This window comes from Homo sapiens, chromosome 14 (genome assembly GCF_000001405.40).
Source record: "Homo sapiens chromosome 14, GRCh38.p14 Primary Assembly".
Lineage (NCBI taxonomy): Eukaryota > Metazoa > Chordata > Mammalia > Primates > Hominidae > Homo > Homo sapiens.
In genome coordinates, this window is record NC_000014.9 from 100,176,245 (window position 1) to 100,195,263 (window position 19,019).

General features: G+C 53.0%; 2 annotated features.

Moving 5' to 3' along the window:
- Positions 16,618-16,937: a silencer, noted in NCBI's record as "silent region_6076". NCBI's record gives its function as "represses an Ori minimal core promoter by ATAC-STARR-seq in GM12878 lymphoblastoid cells {active_cell/tissue: GM12878}" and the evidence as "EXISTENCE:reporter gene assay evidence [ECO:0000049][PMID:35858748]".
- Positions 17,528-17,617: a silencer, noted in NCBI's record as "silent region_6077". NCBI's record gives its function as "represses an Ori minimal core promoter by ATAC-STARR-seq in GM12878 lymphoblastoid cells {active_cell/tissue: GM12878}" and the evidence as "EXISTENCE:reporter gene assay evidence [ECO:0000049][PMID:35858748]".

The following is a 19,019-nucleotide window of genomic DNA, read 5'->3' on the forward strand; positions in this document are numbered from 1 at the left end:
CAGAAACTCGAGACCAGTCTGGCCAACACGGTGAAAACGTTTCTCTACTAAAAATACAAAAATGAGCTGGGCGTGGTGGCGCACGCCTGTGATCCCAGCTGCTCAGGAGGCTGAGGCAGGAGAATCACCTGAACCCAGGAGATGGAGGCTTCAGTGAGCAGAGATCGCACCATTGCACTCCAGCCCGGGCAACAAAAAAAGACTCCATCTCAAAAAAAAAAAAAAAAAAAAAAAAAACTTGACCTGTTGGGTACCCTGATGTGGTTATTATGCATTGCATGCCTGTATCAAGATATCTCATGTAATCTCATGTACACCGTAAATATATACACCTAGTATGTACCCACAAAAATTAAATTTTTAAAAAATGGCAAGGAGGGCCAGGTAGGGTGGCTCAGGCCTGTAATCCTAGCAATTTGGGAGGCTATCGCTTGAGCTCAGGGGTTCAAGGCCAGCCTAGCAGCCTGAGCAACACAGCAAGACCCAGTCTCTGCAAAACACAAAACAAGAAGAAGAAAGTCAAGTCTGTCCCCAGTTCAGCGGCTCACGTCTGACTTCTCTCCTTGGCCTCATGCCCAGGGCACCTTCCTGAATCCCAGAGGTGAGCAAAACTCCACCTCCACAACCCCAGGGCACCCCATTGCCACCACCCCTCAGCCTTGGAAATGGAGTCACCAGGCATGAAGTTTAGATGTGCACAACCTGGCACCGAGTCCCTACGGTGGGACCATGCCCGCAGCGGCAGTGTGGAAGATGGGACAGACACAGCGAAATGCCTCCAGGGCGTGGTGGGAGGGGCCGGAACAGGGAGATGGCGCGTGAGTAGCATCTGTTCTTACAGCAAAACCTGTAAAAGTAAAATATACGTAGGTTTGTCACTAAAGACGTGTCTGCATAAATACACCCACGCCGAAGACTGTTCTGATCACCTTTTTATATAATTACCGTGTGTCCTTGTGGCTGTGTGGGTGGCTGTGTGTGTCTGTGCAAAGGTGTGCCTGTGTGCATCTGTCTGTCTGCAGAGGTATCTGTGTGTGTTTGTGTGTGAGTGGAGGTTCTGGAGAAGGCCTGGAAGGATCCTGTCAAACTGGAGGGGGGCTGCGGGATGAGGATTTTTCTTTTAATGCATCTGCCCAGTTTGAGTTTTACGAATGTTAATCATTTAAAGGCAGAAAAGATATCTTTGGGGGTTTTGGGTTTTTGTTTTTTGTTTGGGTACAGGGTCTTGCTCTGTTGCCCAGGCTGGATTGCAGTGGTGTGATCATAGCTCACTATAGCCTTCTAAGCCCTGGGTTCAAGTAATCCTCCCTCCTCAGCATTCCCAGTAGCTAGGAATACAGGCATGTGCCACCACGCCCAGCTAATTAAAAAAAATATATATATCTCTTTTTTCTTTTTTAGGGATGGGGTCTCGGGGTCTTGCTGTGTTGCCCAGGCTGGTCTCAAACTCCTGGGCTCAAGGGATCCTCCCAACTTAGCCTCCCAAAGTGCTGGGATTACAGGTGTGAGCCACCGGGCCGGTATAAAAAGATATCTAATTAAATTTTTTTGAATTAGTGGACTCCTCCCAGGCTCGTCCTCCTTCGCCACCCATTCCCAGCGCATTGCCCCCCGCCAGCCAGGTCCCCAGGCCTCCCAATCCTGCACTGTCCGCGGCGGCGGGGGTGGGGAGAGGAGGGTGCTTTGCACTCGCGGTTCCCCCCCCGGGAGCATTGATACCCCCGCCCCTGGGAGCATTGATCCTCCTGCCCCTGCAGCCCGGAGCCCGGAGCAGCCCACGTTGCTCCCGCTGCGGCCCAGCCCAGCCCAGCCCAGCCCAGCCCAGCCCAGTGCCGCGCCTGTCCTCGAACCTGGCCCAACGCTCGCCGGGAGCAGGGACCTGCGTGCAGCTATGGAACCGAGGCGCGGGCTGCGGGATCCCGCCCTACCTCCCATAAACCAGGGCCCGAGATAAGGGAGTCCCAGAGGGCCAGGGGAGTCGCGGGCCCAGCGTCTCAGTGGGCACGAATTTCTTACTTTAACCTCTTTTCTGTCGACCCCATCTGTCCCCACCTGGGAGGAGGGGGAGCAACAGGCCCCTTCCCGGTCGAGTTCAGGGCTCGGTACAAAGGCTGCATGATGCCACAGAGGGTGAATGGCCTGGTGCCAAGGCTGGGAGTGCCCAGACAGAAGGGCCACAGGGCATCCAAGAAGTGTGAGTTCAGGCCTTGAGGGCCTTGAAGGACGGAGAGAGTTCCTGACCAGGGAGAGGAGAGATTCTCAGCTGCAGGCACGGCTGGGACACAGGCCTGGTGGTGGGAAGGAGCAAGGGCCACTGTGGCTGGGGAAGGGGAGTGGAGCAGGGCTCAGAGGCTTAGTGCCCTGGGGAGCCTGGGAGTGTTGAGGTCTGGGAGGGCCTCAGGGAGTTGGGACGTGGGGTGGGGAGGATGTGGATGAGGTGTCCGCACAAGGGAGAGCCTTTTAAGCGGAATCCTCCTTGGGTCACTGGCCTGGTCCCAGCTCTGAAGAGGCTGGGGCAGGACAAAGAGCAAGGGTGTGTGGGGGTGAGGCCTTGAAAGAGACAAGTGAACAAATCCATCACTGGCTGAGCCAAGCCTCTCGAAGGTCCCACCAGGGAAACTGAGGTTGGGCCCCTGGAGAGTGGGGTGCAGGAATGGTCTGCTCCAGGAGGTGAGAACAGAGCGCATGACTAATGCCACCAGGACTACTCACGGCACTGACTTCATCGCCCAGCTTGCGGACATAGGGGCCTGGCTCAATTCGCCCAACCTGCCTTTCTGGCCCTGACCCATAGCCTTCAAACCCCACTCCTGACTCACTGTACCCCACCTCCCTCCCACAGGGAAAAACATACTGAGTGCCTAGGCCCGGCGCTGCTGTGGGGAGACCAGTGTGGAGTCACACAGGGTGGAGGGGAGGACCTAGAGCTGGGGTCCTGCTCCTGCCTGGCGCTGGGACCCAGCTTAGACGTGGCCTCTCCTAAATCCCCTCTTCAGCTCAGGCAGCCTGGTCCCTGGTCCTTGACCACATTCACGCTGCAGGATTTCATTTATATAAAGTACAAAACAAAGGTAAAATTAATCTATGGTGGTAAAAGTCTAAATAGTAGTTGCCTTTGGAGGCTTCTGGGAGCTGGAAATTTGCTGTAATGCAATCTGGATGGAGCCGTAGGTGGACATAGAGAAAAATCATCTGGTTGCTCACTTAAGGTTTTGCACGTTACTATAAATACACAAATAAATGAATATAATAACACCACACTGTTACTAATCATAGTTCCCCCATGTTCAAGCCCCTTCGTGAAGGTAGGCCAGACATTTCTGATGCTGTGTCCCCAGCGCACAGCCCAGGGCAGCCGTCTATCCTCACAGTGGTGAACAACTATCAATATCCCCATTTTATGACGACGGAAATTGCAGTTCAGGGGAACCAAGGAACCAACGTCTTGTCTGACTCCAAAACTCTTCCCAGAAAGCTCTGTGGCTGTTCTAGCTCTGTCCAGGGACGTTCATGTCTTGGAGAGGAAGCAAAGACAAGAGTCAGAGGATGCAGGGAAGCCAGGGTTTCTAGGAGTGGCACCATGGCTAGTTACCATCGTCAGGCTGTGATAGGGCCTTGGGAGGAGGGACGGGTGCTCTCCAGAAGGAAGTGATGTCAGTCTGAGTCTTAGAGAATGGATGAGGTCTAGAGCTGCAAAAACTGGACAGTGAGCCAGGCGCGGTGGCTCATGCTTGTAATCCTAGCACTTTGGGAGGCCGAGGCAGGTGGATCACCTGAGGTCAGGAGTTCGAGACCAGCCTTACCAACATGGCAAAACCCTGTCTCTACTAAAAATACAAAAATTAGCTGGGCATGGTGGTGCATGCCTGTAATCCCATCTACTCGGGAGGCTGAAGCAGGAGAATCGCTTGAACCTGGGAAATGGAGGTTGCAGCGAGCCGAGATCACGCCACTGCACTCCGGCCTGGACGACAGAGCGAGACTCCATCTCAAAAAACAAAAACGAAAACAAAAAACAATCCCTCTCCCTCTCCCTCTCTGTCTCCCCACAGTCTCCCTCTCCCTCTCTTGCCACGGTCTCCCTCTGATGCGGAGCCAAAGCTGGACTGTACTGCTGCCATCTCGGCTCACTGCAACCTCCCTGCCTCATTCTCCTGCCTCAGCCTGCGGAGTGCCTGCGATTGCAGGCGCGCGCCGCCACGCCTGACTGGTTTTCGTATTTTTTTGGTGGAGACGGGGTTTCGCTGTGTTGGCCGGGCTGGTCTCCAGCTCCTAACCGCGAGTGATCCGCCAGCCTCGGCCTCCCGAGGTGCCGGGATGGCAGACGGAGTTGCGTTCACTCAGTGCTCAATGGTGCCCAGGCTGGAGTGCAGTGGCATGATCTCGGCTCACTACAACCTCCACCTCCTAGCTGCCTGCCTTGGCCCCCCAAAGTGCCGAGATTGCAGCTTCTGCCCGGCCGCCACCCCGTCTGGGAAGTGAGGAGCGTCTCTGCCTGGCCGCCCATCGTCTGGGATGTGAGGAGCCCCTCTGTCTGGCTGCCCAGTCTGGAAAGTGAGGAGCGTCTCTGCCCGGCCGCCATCCCATCTAGGAAGTGAGGAGCGTCTCTGCCCGGCCGCCCCGTCTGGGATGTGAGGAGACCCTCTGCCTGGCAACCGCCCGTCTGAGAAGTGAGAAGCCCCTCCGCCCGGCAGCCACACCGTCTGAGAAGTGAGGAGCCCCTCCGCCTGGCCAGCCGCCCGTCCGGGAGGGAGGTGGGGGGGTCAGCCCCCCGCCCGGCCAGCCGCCCCGTCCGGGAGGTGAGGGGCGCCTCTGCCTGGCCGCCCCTACTGGGAAGTGAGGAGCCCCTCTGCCTGGCCAGCCGCCCCGTCCGGGAGGGAGGTGGGGGGGGTCAGCCCCCCGCCCGGCCAGCCGCCCCGTCCGGGAGGGAGGTGGGGGGGTCAGCCCCCCGCCCGGCCAGCCGCCCCATCCGGGAGGTGAGGGGCGCCTCTGCCCAGCCGCCCCTACTGGGAAGTGAGGAGCCCCTCTGCCCGGCCAGCCGCCCCGTCCGGGAGGGAGGCGGGGGGGGTCAGCCCCCCGCCCAGCCAGCCGCCCCATCCGGGAGGTGAGGGGCGCCTCTGCCCGGCCTCCCCTACTAGGAAGTGAGGAGCCCCTCTGCCCGGCCACCACCCCGTCTGGGAGGTGTACCCAACAGCTCATTGAGAACGGGCCAGGATGACAATGGCGGCTTTGTGGAATAGAAAGGCGGGAAAGGTGGGGAAAAGATTGAGAAATCGGATGGTTGCCGTGTCTGTGTAGAAAGAGGTAGACATGGGAGACTTCTCATTTTGTTCTGTACTAAGAAAAATTCTTCTGCCTTGGGATCCTGTTGATCTGTGACCTTACCCCCAACCCTGTGCTCTCTGAAACATGTGCTGTGTCCACTCAGGGTTGAATGGATTAAGGGTGGTGCAAGATGTGCTTTGTTAAACAGATGCTTGAAGGCAGCATGCTCGTTAAGAGTCATCGCCACTCCCTAATCTCAAGTACCCAGGGACACAAACACTGCGGAAGGCCGCAGGGTCCTCTGCCTAGGAAAACCAGAGACCTTTGTTCACTTGTTTATCTGCTGACCTTCCCTCCACTATTGTCCTGTGACCCTGCCAAATCCCCCTCTGCGAGAAACACCCAAGAATGATCAATTAAAAAAAAGAAAAGAAAACAAAAAACAAAACAAACAAACAAAAACTGGACAGTGGATGGTATCCCAGGTTGAAGAAACAGCAGAAACAAAGACTGGGAGGGAGTACTGTACAAGTTGTGGTCTGGATAGTTGGGCTGGAGCAGAGGATGCTGGAGGAGGCTCAGCAGGGCAGGTATGACCGTCACAGCCACTGGCTGGCACTAGCCAATGCAGGGTTCTTCTGGGAACTCTGGGGTCCTGAAACTAAGGCAGCTGAGGAACTTCCAGAATGCTTTAATAAATTAATATCAAACATGATTTGCTTTTGAGCTAACGTCAGCCGTGCCAAGATTCACAAAAGAGGCTGGAGAAAGGAGATTCTGGCAGGGCAGATCTGATGTCATCCACTAAGCATGGAGCCTTGTGCTATCTGGAATCTGGGATGACACAGCCTGAGCCTCCCCACCCAGGTGGCTCCCACTGAGATACCCACACTGTGATCATTGCCAAGGACACCAGACACTTCAAGCAACCCAAGGGAAGGAGGGCAGAACTCTGCTGGGTGGCCAGGGCAGTCCAGGCAGGCACATAGGGTCCAGAGGGAAGAAAATCAAGATGTCCTCCAATTCCATCCTAGATATTGTAACTGAACCTAGGTTTGATTGCTCAACCCTCAAAAGCCAGACACAAGAGATGAGGGTTGGTGGGAGGAAAAGCAGGCTTATTCAGAGAGCCGGCAAAACTGAGATGGGGAACTCGTGCTCTAACGTACCATCTTAAGGCCTGGGGTGGTGGCTCATGCCTGTAATCCCAGCACTTTAGGAGGCTGAAGTGGGTGGATCACTTGAAGTCAGGAGTTCAAGACCAGCCTGGCCAACATGGTGAAACCCCGTCTTTACTAAGAATACAAAAATTAGCCAGGCATGGTTGGGCGTGGTGGCTCATGCCTGTAATCCCAGAACTTTGGGAGGCCGAGGCAGGTGGATCACCTGAGGTCAGGAGTTACAGACCAGCCTGGCCAACATGGTGAAACCCTTTCTCTACTAAAAATACAAAAATTAGGTGGGGCGCGGTGGCTCACACCTGTAATCCCAGCACTTTGGGAGGCCAAGGTGGGCGGATCACCTGAGGTCAGCCTGACCAACATGGCGAAATCCTGGCTCTACTAAAAATACAAAATTAGCTGGGCGTGGTGGTGGGTGCCAGTAATCACAGTTACTTGGGAGGCTGAGGCAAGAGAATCGCTTGAACCTGGGAGGTAGAGGTTGTAGTGAGCCGAGATGGCACCACTGTACTCCAGCCTGAGCGACAGAGTGAGACTCTATCTCAAAAATATAAATAAATAAAAAATAAAGTCCCATCTTCAGTATTTCAGGCTGGTCAGAGGCTTTTTGTGGGAGGGGGGATATGGGGAAACCATGTGCAGGGCTTGGGATCAAGAGGTGACCGAGGACCACAGACATCTAGGAGCCAGCGAGGGTCTGAAGAGGTTGGGAACTTCTTTGTCCTTAGTCAAGGGTCATGATGCTCCTATAAATCCTTAACAAAACGTAGTTCCTGGCTTACCTACTTCCCCTCTAATCCCAGAGTTAGTTTTACGAACTACATGATTGCTGTTTGTGCATTTTATCTCAGTGCTGTAAATTATCCCGGCTTACAAACGGGAATGGGTAAAGGCCCCTTGAAAAAAAAAAAAAAGGACTGGGCATGGTGGCTCACACCTGTAATCCCAGCACTTTGGGAGGCTGAGGCAGGCAGATCACTTGAGGTCAGGAGTTTAAGACCAGCCTGGCCAACCAACATGGTAAAACCCCATCTCTACTAAAAATACAAAAATTGCCCAGTCGCGGTGGCATGAGCCTGTAATCCTAGCTACTTGGGAGGCTGAGACAGGAGAATCACTTGAACATGGGAGATGGAGGTTGCAGTGAGCTGAGATCGTGCCACTCCACTCCAGCCTGGGCGACAGAGCAAGACTCCATCTCAAAAACAAAACAAAACAACAACAACAACAAAAAATAGAGTTAGTTGTGTCCGTTCTTTTCCACTGTTACAGTATGACCACTGGTGAACCTCTGCAGAGATTGTTTGAGGGACAGAGTTTCATTTTCATTGAAAAAGTTGTTCAGGGCCTGGCTCGGTGGCTCACGCCTGTAATCCCAGTGCTTTGGGAGGCCGAGGCGGGCAGATCATGATGTCAAGAGATTGAGACCATCCTGGTCAACAAGGTGAAGACCTGTCTTTACTAAAAATACAAAAATTAGCTGGGCATGGTGCCACATGCCTGTAGTCCCAGCTACTCGGGAGACTGAGGCAGGAGAATCGCTTGAACCTGGGAGGCGGAGGTTGCGGTGAGTGGAGATCGCATCACTGCACTCCAGCCTGGGTGACAGAGCGAGACTTCATCTCAAAAAAAAAAAAAAAAGTTGTTCAGGCCAGGCGTGGTGGCTCATGGCCCATGCCTGTAGTCCCAACACTTTGGGAGGCTGAGATGGGTGGATCCCTCGAGCTCAGATGTTTGAGACCAGCCTGGGCAACATGGCAAGACCCTGTCTCTAGTAAAAATACAAAAAAATAGCTGGGCATAGTGGTACACACCTGTACTCAGGAGGCTGAGGCAGGAGGATCAGTTGAGCCCAGGGGGCAGAGGTTGCAGTGAGCTGAGATCATGCCACTGCACTCCAGCCTGGATGATAGAACGAAATCCTGTGTCCAAAAAAAAAGAGATGATCTAGTAACTAGGACCACAGGCATGTGCTACCACACCCAGCTAATTTTTTATTTTTATTTTTATTTTTTATTTTTTGAGACGGAGTTTCACTCTTTCACCCAGGCTGGAGTGAAGTGGCGTGATCTCGGCTCATTGCAACCTCCGCCCTGCCTGGTTCAAGCGATTCTCCTGCCTCAGCCTCCTGAGTAGCTGGGATTATAGGCACTTGCCACCACGCCTGGCTAATTTTTGTATTTTCTGTAGAGATGGGGTTTCATCATGTTGGCCAGGCTGGTCTTGAACTCCTGACCTCAGGGGATCCACCTGCCTTGGCCTCTCAAAGTGCTAGGATTACAGACATGAGCCACCACGCCCAGCCTCACAGCCAGCTAATTTTTTTAAAATTATTTGTAGAGATGGAGTCTCACTATGTTGCCCAGGCTGGTCTCAAACTCCTAGGATTAAGCAATCCTCCTGCCTCCGCCTCCCAATGTGCTGGGGGTACAGGCGTGAGCCACCATGCCTGGATCATCAGTGGATCATCTTAAAATCAATGACATTTTACACACAAGTGTGACCGGAAAGGGGTCTGATCCAGACCCCAAGAGACAGTTCTTGGATCTCATGCAAGAAGGAATTCGGGCAAGCCCACAGAGTCAAATGAAAGCAAGTTTCTTAAAAAAGTAAAGGAATAGGCCAGGCGCGGTGGCTCATGCCTGTAATCCCAGCATTTTGGGAAGCTGAGGAGGGAGAATAAAAGAATGACTACTCCACAGGCAGAGCAGTGGCACGGGCTGCTCTACTGAGCATACTTATGGTTATTTCTTGATTAGATGCTAAACAAAGGGTGGATTCTTCATGAGTTTTCCAGGAGAGGGGCAGGCAATTCCTAGAACTGAGGGTTCTTTCACTTTTTAAACCATATCAGGTAATTTCTGGGCATTACCATGGCATCTGTAAACTGTCATGGCACTGGTTGGAGTGTCTTTTAGCATGCTAATCCTAATGCTAATGTATTGTAGTTATTGTATAATGAGCAGTGAGGATGACCAGGTCACTTTCGTCACCATCTTGGTCTTCGTGGGTTTTTGCTGGCTTCTTTATTGCATCCTGGTTTATTTATTTATTTATTTATTTTTATTTATTTATTTATTTATTTTGAGATGGAGTCTTGCTCTGTCGCCCAGGCTGGAGTGCAGTGGTGCGATCTCAGCTCACTGCAAGCTCCGCCCCCCGGGTTCACACATTCTCCTGCCTCAGCCTCTCGAGTAGCTGGGACTACAGGTGTCCGCCGCCATACCCGTCTAATTTTTTGTATTTTTAGTAGAGACGGGGTTTCACTGTGTTAGCCAGGATGGTCTTGATCTCCTGACCTCGTGATCCGCCCACCTCAGCCTCCCAAAGTGCTGGGATTACAGGTGTGAGCCACCGCGCCTGGCCTGCATCCTGTTTTATCAGCTGGGCCTTTGTGACCTGTCTCTCTTGTGACCTCTTATCTCTCACCCTGTGACTTAGAATGCCTAACCTCCTGGGATGAGGCCAGCAGGTGTCAGTCTCATTTTACCCATTTCCTATTCAAGATGGAATCACTCTGGTTCAAACACCTCTGACACAAGGATATATGATAGATATCTATATATATATATATTATATGTGATGTCTTAGTCTTCTTTCTGTTGCTCACAACAGAACATCTAAAACTGGCTAAATTATTTTATTTTATTACTTGAGACACAGTCTCTCTGTCTCCCAGGCTGGAATGCAGTGCTGTGATCTTGGCTCACTGCAACCTCTGCCTCCCTGGTTCAAGCAATTCTCGTGCCTCAGCTTCCCAAGTAGCTGAGACCATAGCCCCACGCCACCACACCTGGCTAATTTTTGTATTTTTAGTAGAGATGGGGTCTTGCCATGGGTGGCTAGGCTGGTCTCGAACTCCTGGGCTCAAGTGATCCACCCACCTCAGCTTCCCAAAGTGCTGGGATTACAGATGTGAGTCACCGCGCCCGGCCACTAATTACTCTTAGTACAAGATTCAGGAGGCCGGCTGCAGTGGCTCACGCCTGTAATTCCAGCACTTTGGGAGGCTGAGGCGGGCGGATCACGAGGTCAGGAGTTCAAGACCAGCCTGGCCAATATGGTGAAACCCCGTCTCTACTAAAAATACAAAAATTAGCCAGGCATGGTGGCATGTGCCTGTAGTCCCAGCTACTTGGGAGGCTGAGGTAGAAGAATCCCTTGAACCCGGGAGGCAGAGGTTACAGGAGCCAAGATTGCATCACTGCACTCCAACCTGGGTGACAGAGGGAGACTCTGTCTCAAAAAAAAAAAAAAAAAAGAAAAAGACAAAGATTTAGGAGCAGAGGAATAATCTAAAGACAGAATTTAATCATTGAAAGGAAAGCAGAGGGGGGGCCCTGTGGCTCACACCTGTAATCCCAACACTTGGGAGGGGGAGGTGGGTGGAACCCTTGAATCCAGGAGTTTGAGACCAGCCTGGGCAACATGGCAAAACCTCGTCTCTACTAAAAATACAAAAAATTAGCCGGGTGCGGTGGTGTGCGCCTGTAGTCTCAGCTATTCTGGAGGCTGAGGTGGGAGGATCGCTTGAGCCCAGGAGGTTGAGGCTGTAGTGGGCTGAGATCACACCACTGCACGGCAGCCTGGACGACACAGTGAGACCCTGTCTCAAAAAAAAAAAAAAAAAAAAAAAAATGGCAAGCAGAGCAGAAGGATTTGGAGTACTCTCAGCCTGGCCATATAGAGGGTGGAAAAGTACGTTCAGGAGAGGAAACCATGGGTGTAGCCTGGTGAATATTTGCTAAGGAGATTAGCATGTAGAAGGAAGCCAGGTGCCATGCCTCAAGACAACAAAAGACACTGCCAAAGAGGCATGCAGAGAGCCTGGAGCACGGAGGCCGCCCCTCCTGTCACAGGCCTAGAGACCGAGGAGGGAGAGTGGTGTCAGGGGACAAGCCTGGGGGTGGAGGTGGCTCTCCATAGGCTTGCTGCCCAGGGCTGCCTTGGGACTCTGATCCCCACACCCCCGCACAGCGCTCCATGCTTGGTTCACCTGTGGCTCAAGAGGGCCCCAGGTGCGGCTCCTGTTGCAGTACCAGAAGGTACAGGTCGTAAACCTTGGCAGAGGTTCACACGGTGCTCATTCTGCAGACTTTTTTTTTTTGGAGACAGAGTTCAGCTCTTGTTGCGCAGGTTGGAGTGTAATGATGCGATCTCTACTCACTGCAACCTCTGCCTCTCAGGGTTCAAGCGAGTCTCCTGCTTCACTGCTTCAGCCTCCCAAGTAGCTGGGACTTCAGGTGCCCACCACCATGCTCAGCTAATTTTTGTTTGTTTGTTTTTTGAGATGGAGTCTTGCTCTGTCACCCAGGCTGGAGTGCAGTGGTGCAATCTTGGTTCACTGCAACCTCTTCTGCCCAGGTTCACGCCATTATCCTGCCTCAGCCTCCCGAGTAGCTGGGACTACAGGTGCCTGCCACCAACCCTGGCTATTTTTTTTTTTTTGTATTTTTAGTAGAGACGGGTTCTCACCATGTTAGCCAGGATGGTCTCACTCTCCTGACCTCATGATCAGCCCACCTTGGCCTCCCAAAGTGCTGGGATTACAGGCGTGAGCCACCGTGCCCAGCCTCATTCTGCAGACTTGCAAAACACAAGAGCTGTGAAGCTTGGCAGCCTCCACCCAGATTGCAAAAGAAAGCCTGGGGACCCAGGAAGAGACTTGTCACAAGGGCAGAGCCACCACAGAGAGCCCCCCATAGAGCAAGGCCCAGAGGCAATGTGTGGTCTGAGCTGCAGCACAGAGTCCCCACCAGGCTAATGGCTAGTGTGGCCATGGGAGTGGGACCACTGTGGGCCCCCAGAACTGCAGAGCCCGGGCAGCATGCCACATCCACCTGGGAAAACCTCAGGCACCGCACTCCAACCCAGACAGCCAGACGTGCCCCCAGCAAAGCCATAGGAGTCGGGCTGCCTGGGCCTCGGGCCCAACCTGCCCTAGTGTATCCAGGGTGCAGGACATGGAGTCCAAAGAGATCATTCTCCAGCTTTAACCCTTAATGTCTGCCCTGCCCGGTTGCAGACCTGCAAGGGGCCTGTTCCTCCTTTCATGTTGCCTCTTCCTACCTTTTGAATGGGAGTGTCCGCCTTATGCCCGTGCCACCATTGTATCTGGGAAGTAGATAACTTGCTTTGATTTCATGGGATTACAGATGAGACTCTGGACTTTGGACTTTTGAGTTGGTGCTGGAATTAGTTACAGCACTGGGGCTACGAGGATGGAATAACTATATTTGTACGTGAGAAGGACATGAGTTTTGGGGAACTTAGGGGCAGAATGCTATGGTTTGAATATTTGTCCCCTCCAAAATGCATGTTCAGACCGGGCGTGGTGGCTCACGCCTGTAATCCCGGCACTTTAGGAGCCCGAGGTGGGCAGATCATTTGAGGTCAGAAGTTCAAAACTAGCCTGGTGAGCATGGTGAAACCCCACCTCTACTAAAAACACTAAAATTAACCGGGCATGGTGGTGGGCACCTGTAATCCCAGCTACTCAGGAGCCTGAGGCAGGAGAACCACTTGAGCCGGGGAGGCGGAGGTTCCAGTGAGCCAAGATCTCGCCACTGCACTCCAGCCTGAGTGATGGAGTAAGACTCTGTCTCAAAAAAAAAAAAAAATTCATGTTCGAATTTAATTCTCAATGTAGCAATATTGAGAGGTAGGGCATTTAGGGTGTGACTGGGTCATGAGGGCTTAGTGTGCCATTGGATTGACGGGTTATCATGAGAGTGGGCTAGCATGCTCAGCCCTCACCATGTGATACCCTGCACTGCCTCAGGACTCTGCAGAGAGCCCCCACCAACATGAAGGCCCTCACCAGATGTGGCCCCTCGACCTGGGACTTCTCAGCCTCTGTAACTGTAAGAAATAAATTCCTTTTTAAAATAAATTAGGCAGGGCTGGGCACCATGTCCCAGCGTGTAGTCCCAGCATTTTGAGAGGCTGAGGCAGGTGGATCACTTGAGCCCAGGAGTTCAAGACCAGCCTGGCCACCATGGTGAGGCCCCATCTCTACTAAAAATACAAAAATCAGCCAGGTGTGGTGGCACTGGCTGAATTCACGCCACTGCACTCCAGCCTGGGTGACAAGAGTGAAACTTCATCTCAAAAAAAAAAAAAAAAGGGCCGGGCGCAGTGGCTCATGCCTGTAATCCCAGCACTTTGGGAGGCCGAGGCGGGCAGATCACGAGGTCAGGAGATCGAGACCATCCTGGCTAACACGGTGAAACCCCGTCTCTACTAAAAATACAAAAAATTAGCCAGGCATGGTGGCAGGCACCTGTAGTCCCAGCTACTTGGGAGGCTGAGGCAGGAGAATGGCGTGAACCCAGGAGGCAGAGCTTGCAGTGAGCGGAGATCATGCCACTACACTCTAGCATGGGCGACAGAGCGAAACTCTGTCTCAAAAAAAAAAAAAAAGAATTATTAGTATAAGTCATCATGCAGCTTCATCTCTGTTTTGCTAATGTGAAAGTTGATCATACAACCAGGTTACTGTTGTCAGACCCAACTAAAACAGAGTTGAGAGGCCAGGAGGAAAAAGCACTGGGGTCACATAACATTGCTCCAAGAATGTCATTCTCTGCAAACCTGGCTGCTGAAACTGCCTGCTGTAACATGACACCAGTTTACCCACCTGTTACTGAAACAACCTGGTGCAACTCTAAGACTAGTTTTACCTGCGGCATCATCATTGCTCACCAGAGCTTGTCAGCTCCCCAAAACTTTACTAATAGCCATGAACTTCCTTTTAAAACAATGCATAATATTTCTTTTTTATAAAACCTCCAACCTTCTCTTTGTTCTTCAGACATACTGAAAACTACCTGGTCTGTTTATATGCCCCAAATTGCCATTCTTGCTTTTCAAATAAAACTTTTTCAATTTAGAGATTTGTCTCTATATTTTATTTCACTTCACACTTAGAAATTTCTTCTGGCCAGGCAAGGTGGCTCAAGCCTATAATCCCAGCGCTTTGGGAGGCCAAGGTGGGAAGATCACTTGAGCCCAGGGGTTCCATACCAGCCTGGGCAACATGGCAAGACCCCGTCTCTACTAAAAATATAAAAAATTAGCCAGCCATGGTGGCATGTACCTGTAGTCCCAGCTACTGGGAGGCTGAGGTGAGAGGATCACTTGAGCCCAGGAGGCAGAGGTTGCAGTGAGCCAAGATTGTGCCACTGCACTCCAGCCTGGGCAACAGAGCTAGACTCTCTCTCAAAAAAAGAAAAAGAAAAGAAAAGAAAGAGAAAGAAATAAATTTCTTCTGCCAGATACCTTAATTAATCAAGGTCGGCCTTCCATCAAGCCCTCAGGCATGTATGTAGTTCTACTCACATGCTAACCCATTAATTTATTAACCCACAAATGGATTAGTCTATTCTTTTTTTTTTTTTCTTTGAGATGGAGTCTCGCTCTGTCGCCCAGGCTGAAGTGCAGCGGCACGATCTTGGCTCACTGCAACCTCCGCCTCCCAGGTTCAAGCGATTCTTCCGCCTCAGCCTCCAGAGTAGCGGGGACTACAGGCGTGCACCACCACGCCCGGCTAATTTCTTGTATTTTTAGTAGAGACGGGGTTTCACCCTGTTAGCCAGGATGGTCTCGATCTCCTGACCTTGCGATCCACCCGCCTCAGCCTCCCAAAGTGCTGGGATTACAGGCGTGAGCCCCGCGCTCGGGCTGTCTTTTTTGTTTTTTGCTTTTTTTTTTTGAGACGGAGTCTCGTTCTGTTGCCCAGGCTGGAGTGCGGTGGCGCGACCTCGGCTTACCAAAACCTCTGCCTCCTGGATTTATATTTTATTCCTTTTTTTTTCTTGACTAGCTAAAGGAATAAAATATAAAATACTACACTCAATAAAATGATAACAGGCCGGGCGCGGTGGCTCATGCCTCTAATCCCAGCACTTTGGGAGGCTGAAGTGGACGGGTCACCTGAGGTCAGGAGTTTGAGACCAGCCTGGCCAACATGGTGAAACCCCGTGTGTACTAAAAATACAAAAAAATTAGCTGGACGTGGTGGCAGGTGCCTGTAATGCCAGCTACTCGGAAGGCTGAGGCAGGAGAATCGCTTGAACCCGGAAGGCGGAGCTTGCAGTGAGCCAAGACTGCGCCACTGCACTAGAGCCTGGGCAACATAGTGAGACTCTGTCTCAAAGGAAAAAAAAGAATTATAACTGGGGACAGACTTTTCTTCCCTTTTAGAGCTGACCTTCTCTGGGAGAGGCTATCACCAAGATAAATCGGTAAGGCTTAATTCCATGTCCAGTGTTTTTGGCAAAACCCTTGTTCCCGAGGGGGTGAGTGGCCTTCCCAGCAGGCTCTGCTGAATTCTGGAAGAGCCTGTTTCCAGAAACTTTGTTTTGTACATGTCTTGGCAAATGATCACCACCCCCCTCCCCCCACCACCCACCCACTTCCGAAGTGGTCTAGGGCTTAAGTCCAGATGCGGATGGGCTCAGGGCGGGGTGGGAGAAGTCAGGGGAAAAAAAAAAAGAAAAGAAAAAAAAGATAAAGAAATAAATTTCTTCTGCCAGATACCTTAATTAATCAAGGTCGGCCTTCCATCAAGGTCGGCTTCTCGGCTCCCCAGCCCCCGCGCCTCACGGGGACCTCAGGCCTCGGCAGGGTCCTCTCCCTTTGCATCTCCTACTAGTCAGCTGTCGGTGGTGATGGCCCGTGCCAAGTTCACGGTCTCAGCCTGACGAAAGGCGGCCTTTACCAGCCTCAGGACCCCCAACGAACCTGGGGCCATGGCTGGGGAGGGGGCTCTGCCCAGGCTCTGCGTTCTGGGACAGGGGTCCCCAGATGGCCATGCGTCAAGGCCCAGGGACCTGTTTGTGGGCCCGAGAGCACGGGGGTCAGGGGTGGGGCTCGAGTCTCGTCCCAGGGCTCCGGGACAAGCTTCCTGGAGGAGGCAGCGTGAGCTCTGGGAGGTAGAGGTCAAGACCTCAAAAAATGGGGGGACATGGGCGGAGGGGGCATTTTGTAACTCCTACGTCCCTGCAGAAGCCCAGACCCTCAGAGACTAGGAACTGAGGCCTGGCAGAGTGGGGTGGGCCAGCAATCACGCGCCAGGCCACACGAGGAGAGCCCACTGCCCCGGGGATGTCAGACGCGGGGCGGCCTCGGCGACCGCACACGCCATAGAAAGGTCACCGAACTTGGCCGCCCGGCCGTCCCGGAAATCGCTACTGCCCGGCAGCCCTGGGGCCTCCACAACCGCGTCCCGGCGGCTCAAGTTGCCCTTTGTCGCCCCCTGCCGACCAGTCTCCCTGCGGCTCCCGCGCGGGACAATCAGGCGGGCCGGGCTCGGAAATAGTGGGCATGGGTCCCTGAGGCGCGGGGATTGGCCGCTCTGTGTCATGTGTCCTCGGCTCGGGCCAACCAGCGAGGGAGGCAAAGTCCCATCCCGCGCGTCCCGTAGCCCTTCAGCGAGCTGTGGGCGGGGCGTCAGGCCTGACACCTCGGCCAGAGGGCGGGGCCGGAGACCTGAGCGGCGCCGCTTCCGCTCTTTCGCCCAGGTGCCTTGGAGCCGCTGCTCTCGCCTCCCTTCTCCACCTAGCGGCGGTGTTTCACACCCCGGAGTGGCTTTTTGGGGATAAAGGCACAAATCTTTGCCAGACCTCCCGCCAGGCCCCCTGGCCTGCCACGTGCTCCTTGCCGGCCTAGACTCACCCAGGCTGTGCCCTCTGCTCAGAACGACCTTTCCCCCCTTCCTCTCCCCCTCGCTTGCTCCGACTGTTCTTTGCAATCCCGGCTGGGGTTGGGTTAAGGGCCTTCTGGGGCTTCTTCATACCCTGTGCATCTTCCTCCTACTGGCACCGACCACCCCACACTGGGCTGCCATCTGCTTGTCTACACCCACTGACTTTTCATCTCTGTATCTCCCCAGTAAGCAGGAGTGGCTCACAGAAGGCACGTTAATACCTGTGTGTTAATATAAACCAAGGAGCGGGACGATAGCTAGGAAGTAACATCCCTGGGCATCATCTGAGTACCAGGCCCCCTGCCAGGTACTTTAGAGGCTACTTGATGTTCAGGCCCATGGCAGCCCTGGGAGGGAGGCACAAAGGCTCTTTTGTTCCTGGGGAGTCAGTGGAGGCCCCTAGAGGCTGAATGACTGTCTGGGTCCCCCAGCTGGACTGTTTGGGGACAGGCCTGGGGAGCTGAGGGCACCCTCATACCAGGCAGCCTTGCGCCTGAAGCTCTGCTGGTGAAAACTGATGGGCAGGGCCCTGGAAGGGAGAGTCAGCGCCTGCGGGGGCGGGGGTGGGGGTGGGGGTGGGAAGGCAAGCGGAGGGGAAAGGTGAGCATAGACAGGCATTTGTGATGGCCACAGGCCTTCACTGCTACCCTGACATCAGGGCCAATGGCAACCTGCAAGGCCCTTCAAAGCCCTGCTTCCACCTCTGCCCATCTCTGGCTGCAACCTCCTGGTTCTCCCACCCTGTGCTCTATTCTCCAGCTACACTGACCCATGTCAGCTCCCAGGCCATGCATCTGGGCCTTTCACATGCTGCTCTCTCCAGGGTCCATCCAGCCCCACCTCCACCACATTGCCAAGACCAGGCCTTACTTTCCAGACTCCATGTACTTCTCAGCACTGGCCCCACCATTTGTGCTGAGGATCATCAGCTACTGAGACCTGAATTCAACCCCAGGCCCTGGGTTTGAATTCTGACACATTTGTGGCTGACCTTGGAGAACAGCTCATCCATGGGCTCGCAAAACAATGCCGCTGACTTAGACAACACTCTACTGATTTGCTGGCACTGGGCTGGGGCTTTGGTGGACACTGAATCCCCACAAACCAGCCTGCAAGGTCAGACATGTGAAAAGTCCTTTCTGTTTCATCAAGGCTCATCAGGTGAACGTCTCCAACAGGCTCTCACTTCAGCAACATTTCATAGCAGAAGGTGATCTGTCTTCAAGGTTGGAGGCTGGTCCCATAGACCCCAACTCCAGCATCAGGCCAAGGGCTGGGCAAGGCTGCAGGGTTGTGGCTATCCCAAATATGAACTCAGACACACTTAGTTCTGAATCCTGTGTTACCTTGGGCGAATTACTTCACCTCTTTGATCCTTCATTTTCTTCCTTTTTTCTTTTTTGCTTTAGCTTTTCTTTTCAATAAAATTAATAACACGTACATATTTTTAACAGACAAATAGAACTACAAGGCTTACAATGAAAAAAGGCAGTCCCTTGCCTTGCTTTGCCCACCCTGGGTCCTCCCCAAAGAGGCAGCCACTTTGTACTCCTCTAGATGTTTCTTCAGGTTCTCACCTCCATATGTGGAAGTGACAGGTTTACACAGTACTAATGGTTACTGATTTTTTCACATTGAGGTATTATCTAATCACTGCCTACCACTGAGAGGTGAGGGCTTAAATAAACCTTCACATAGGCCAGGCTCACACCTGTAATCCTAGCACTTTGGGAGGCCAAGGCGGGTGGATCACTTGAGGTCAGGAGTTCGAAATGAGCCTGGCCAACATGGTGAAACCCTGTCTCTACTAAAAATACAAAAAAAATTAGCTGGGCATGCTGGGCGCAGTGGCTCAGGCCTGTAAT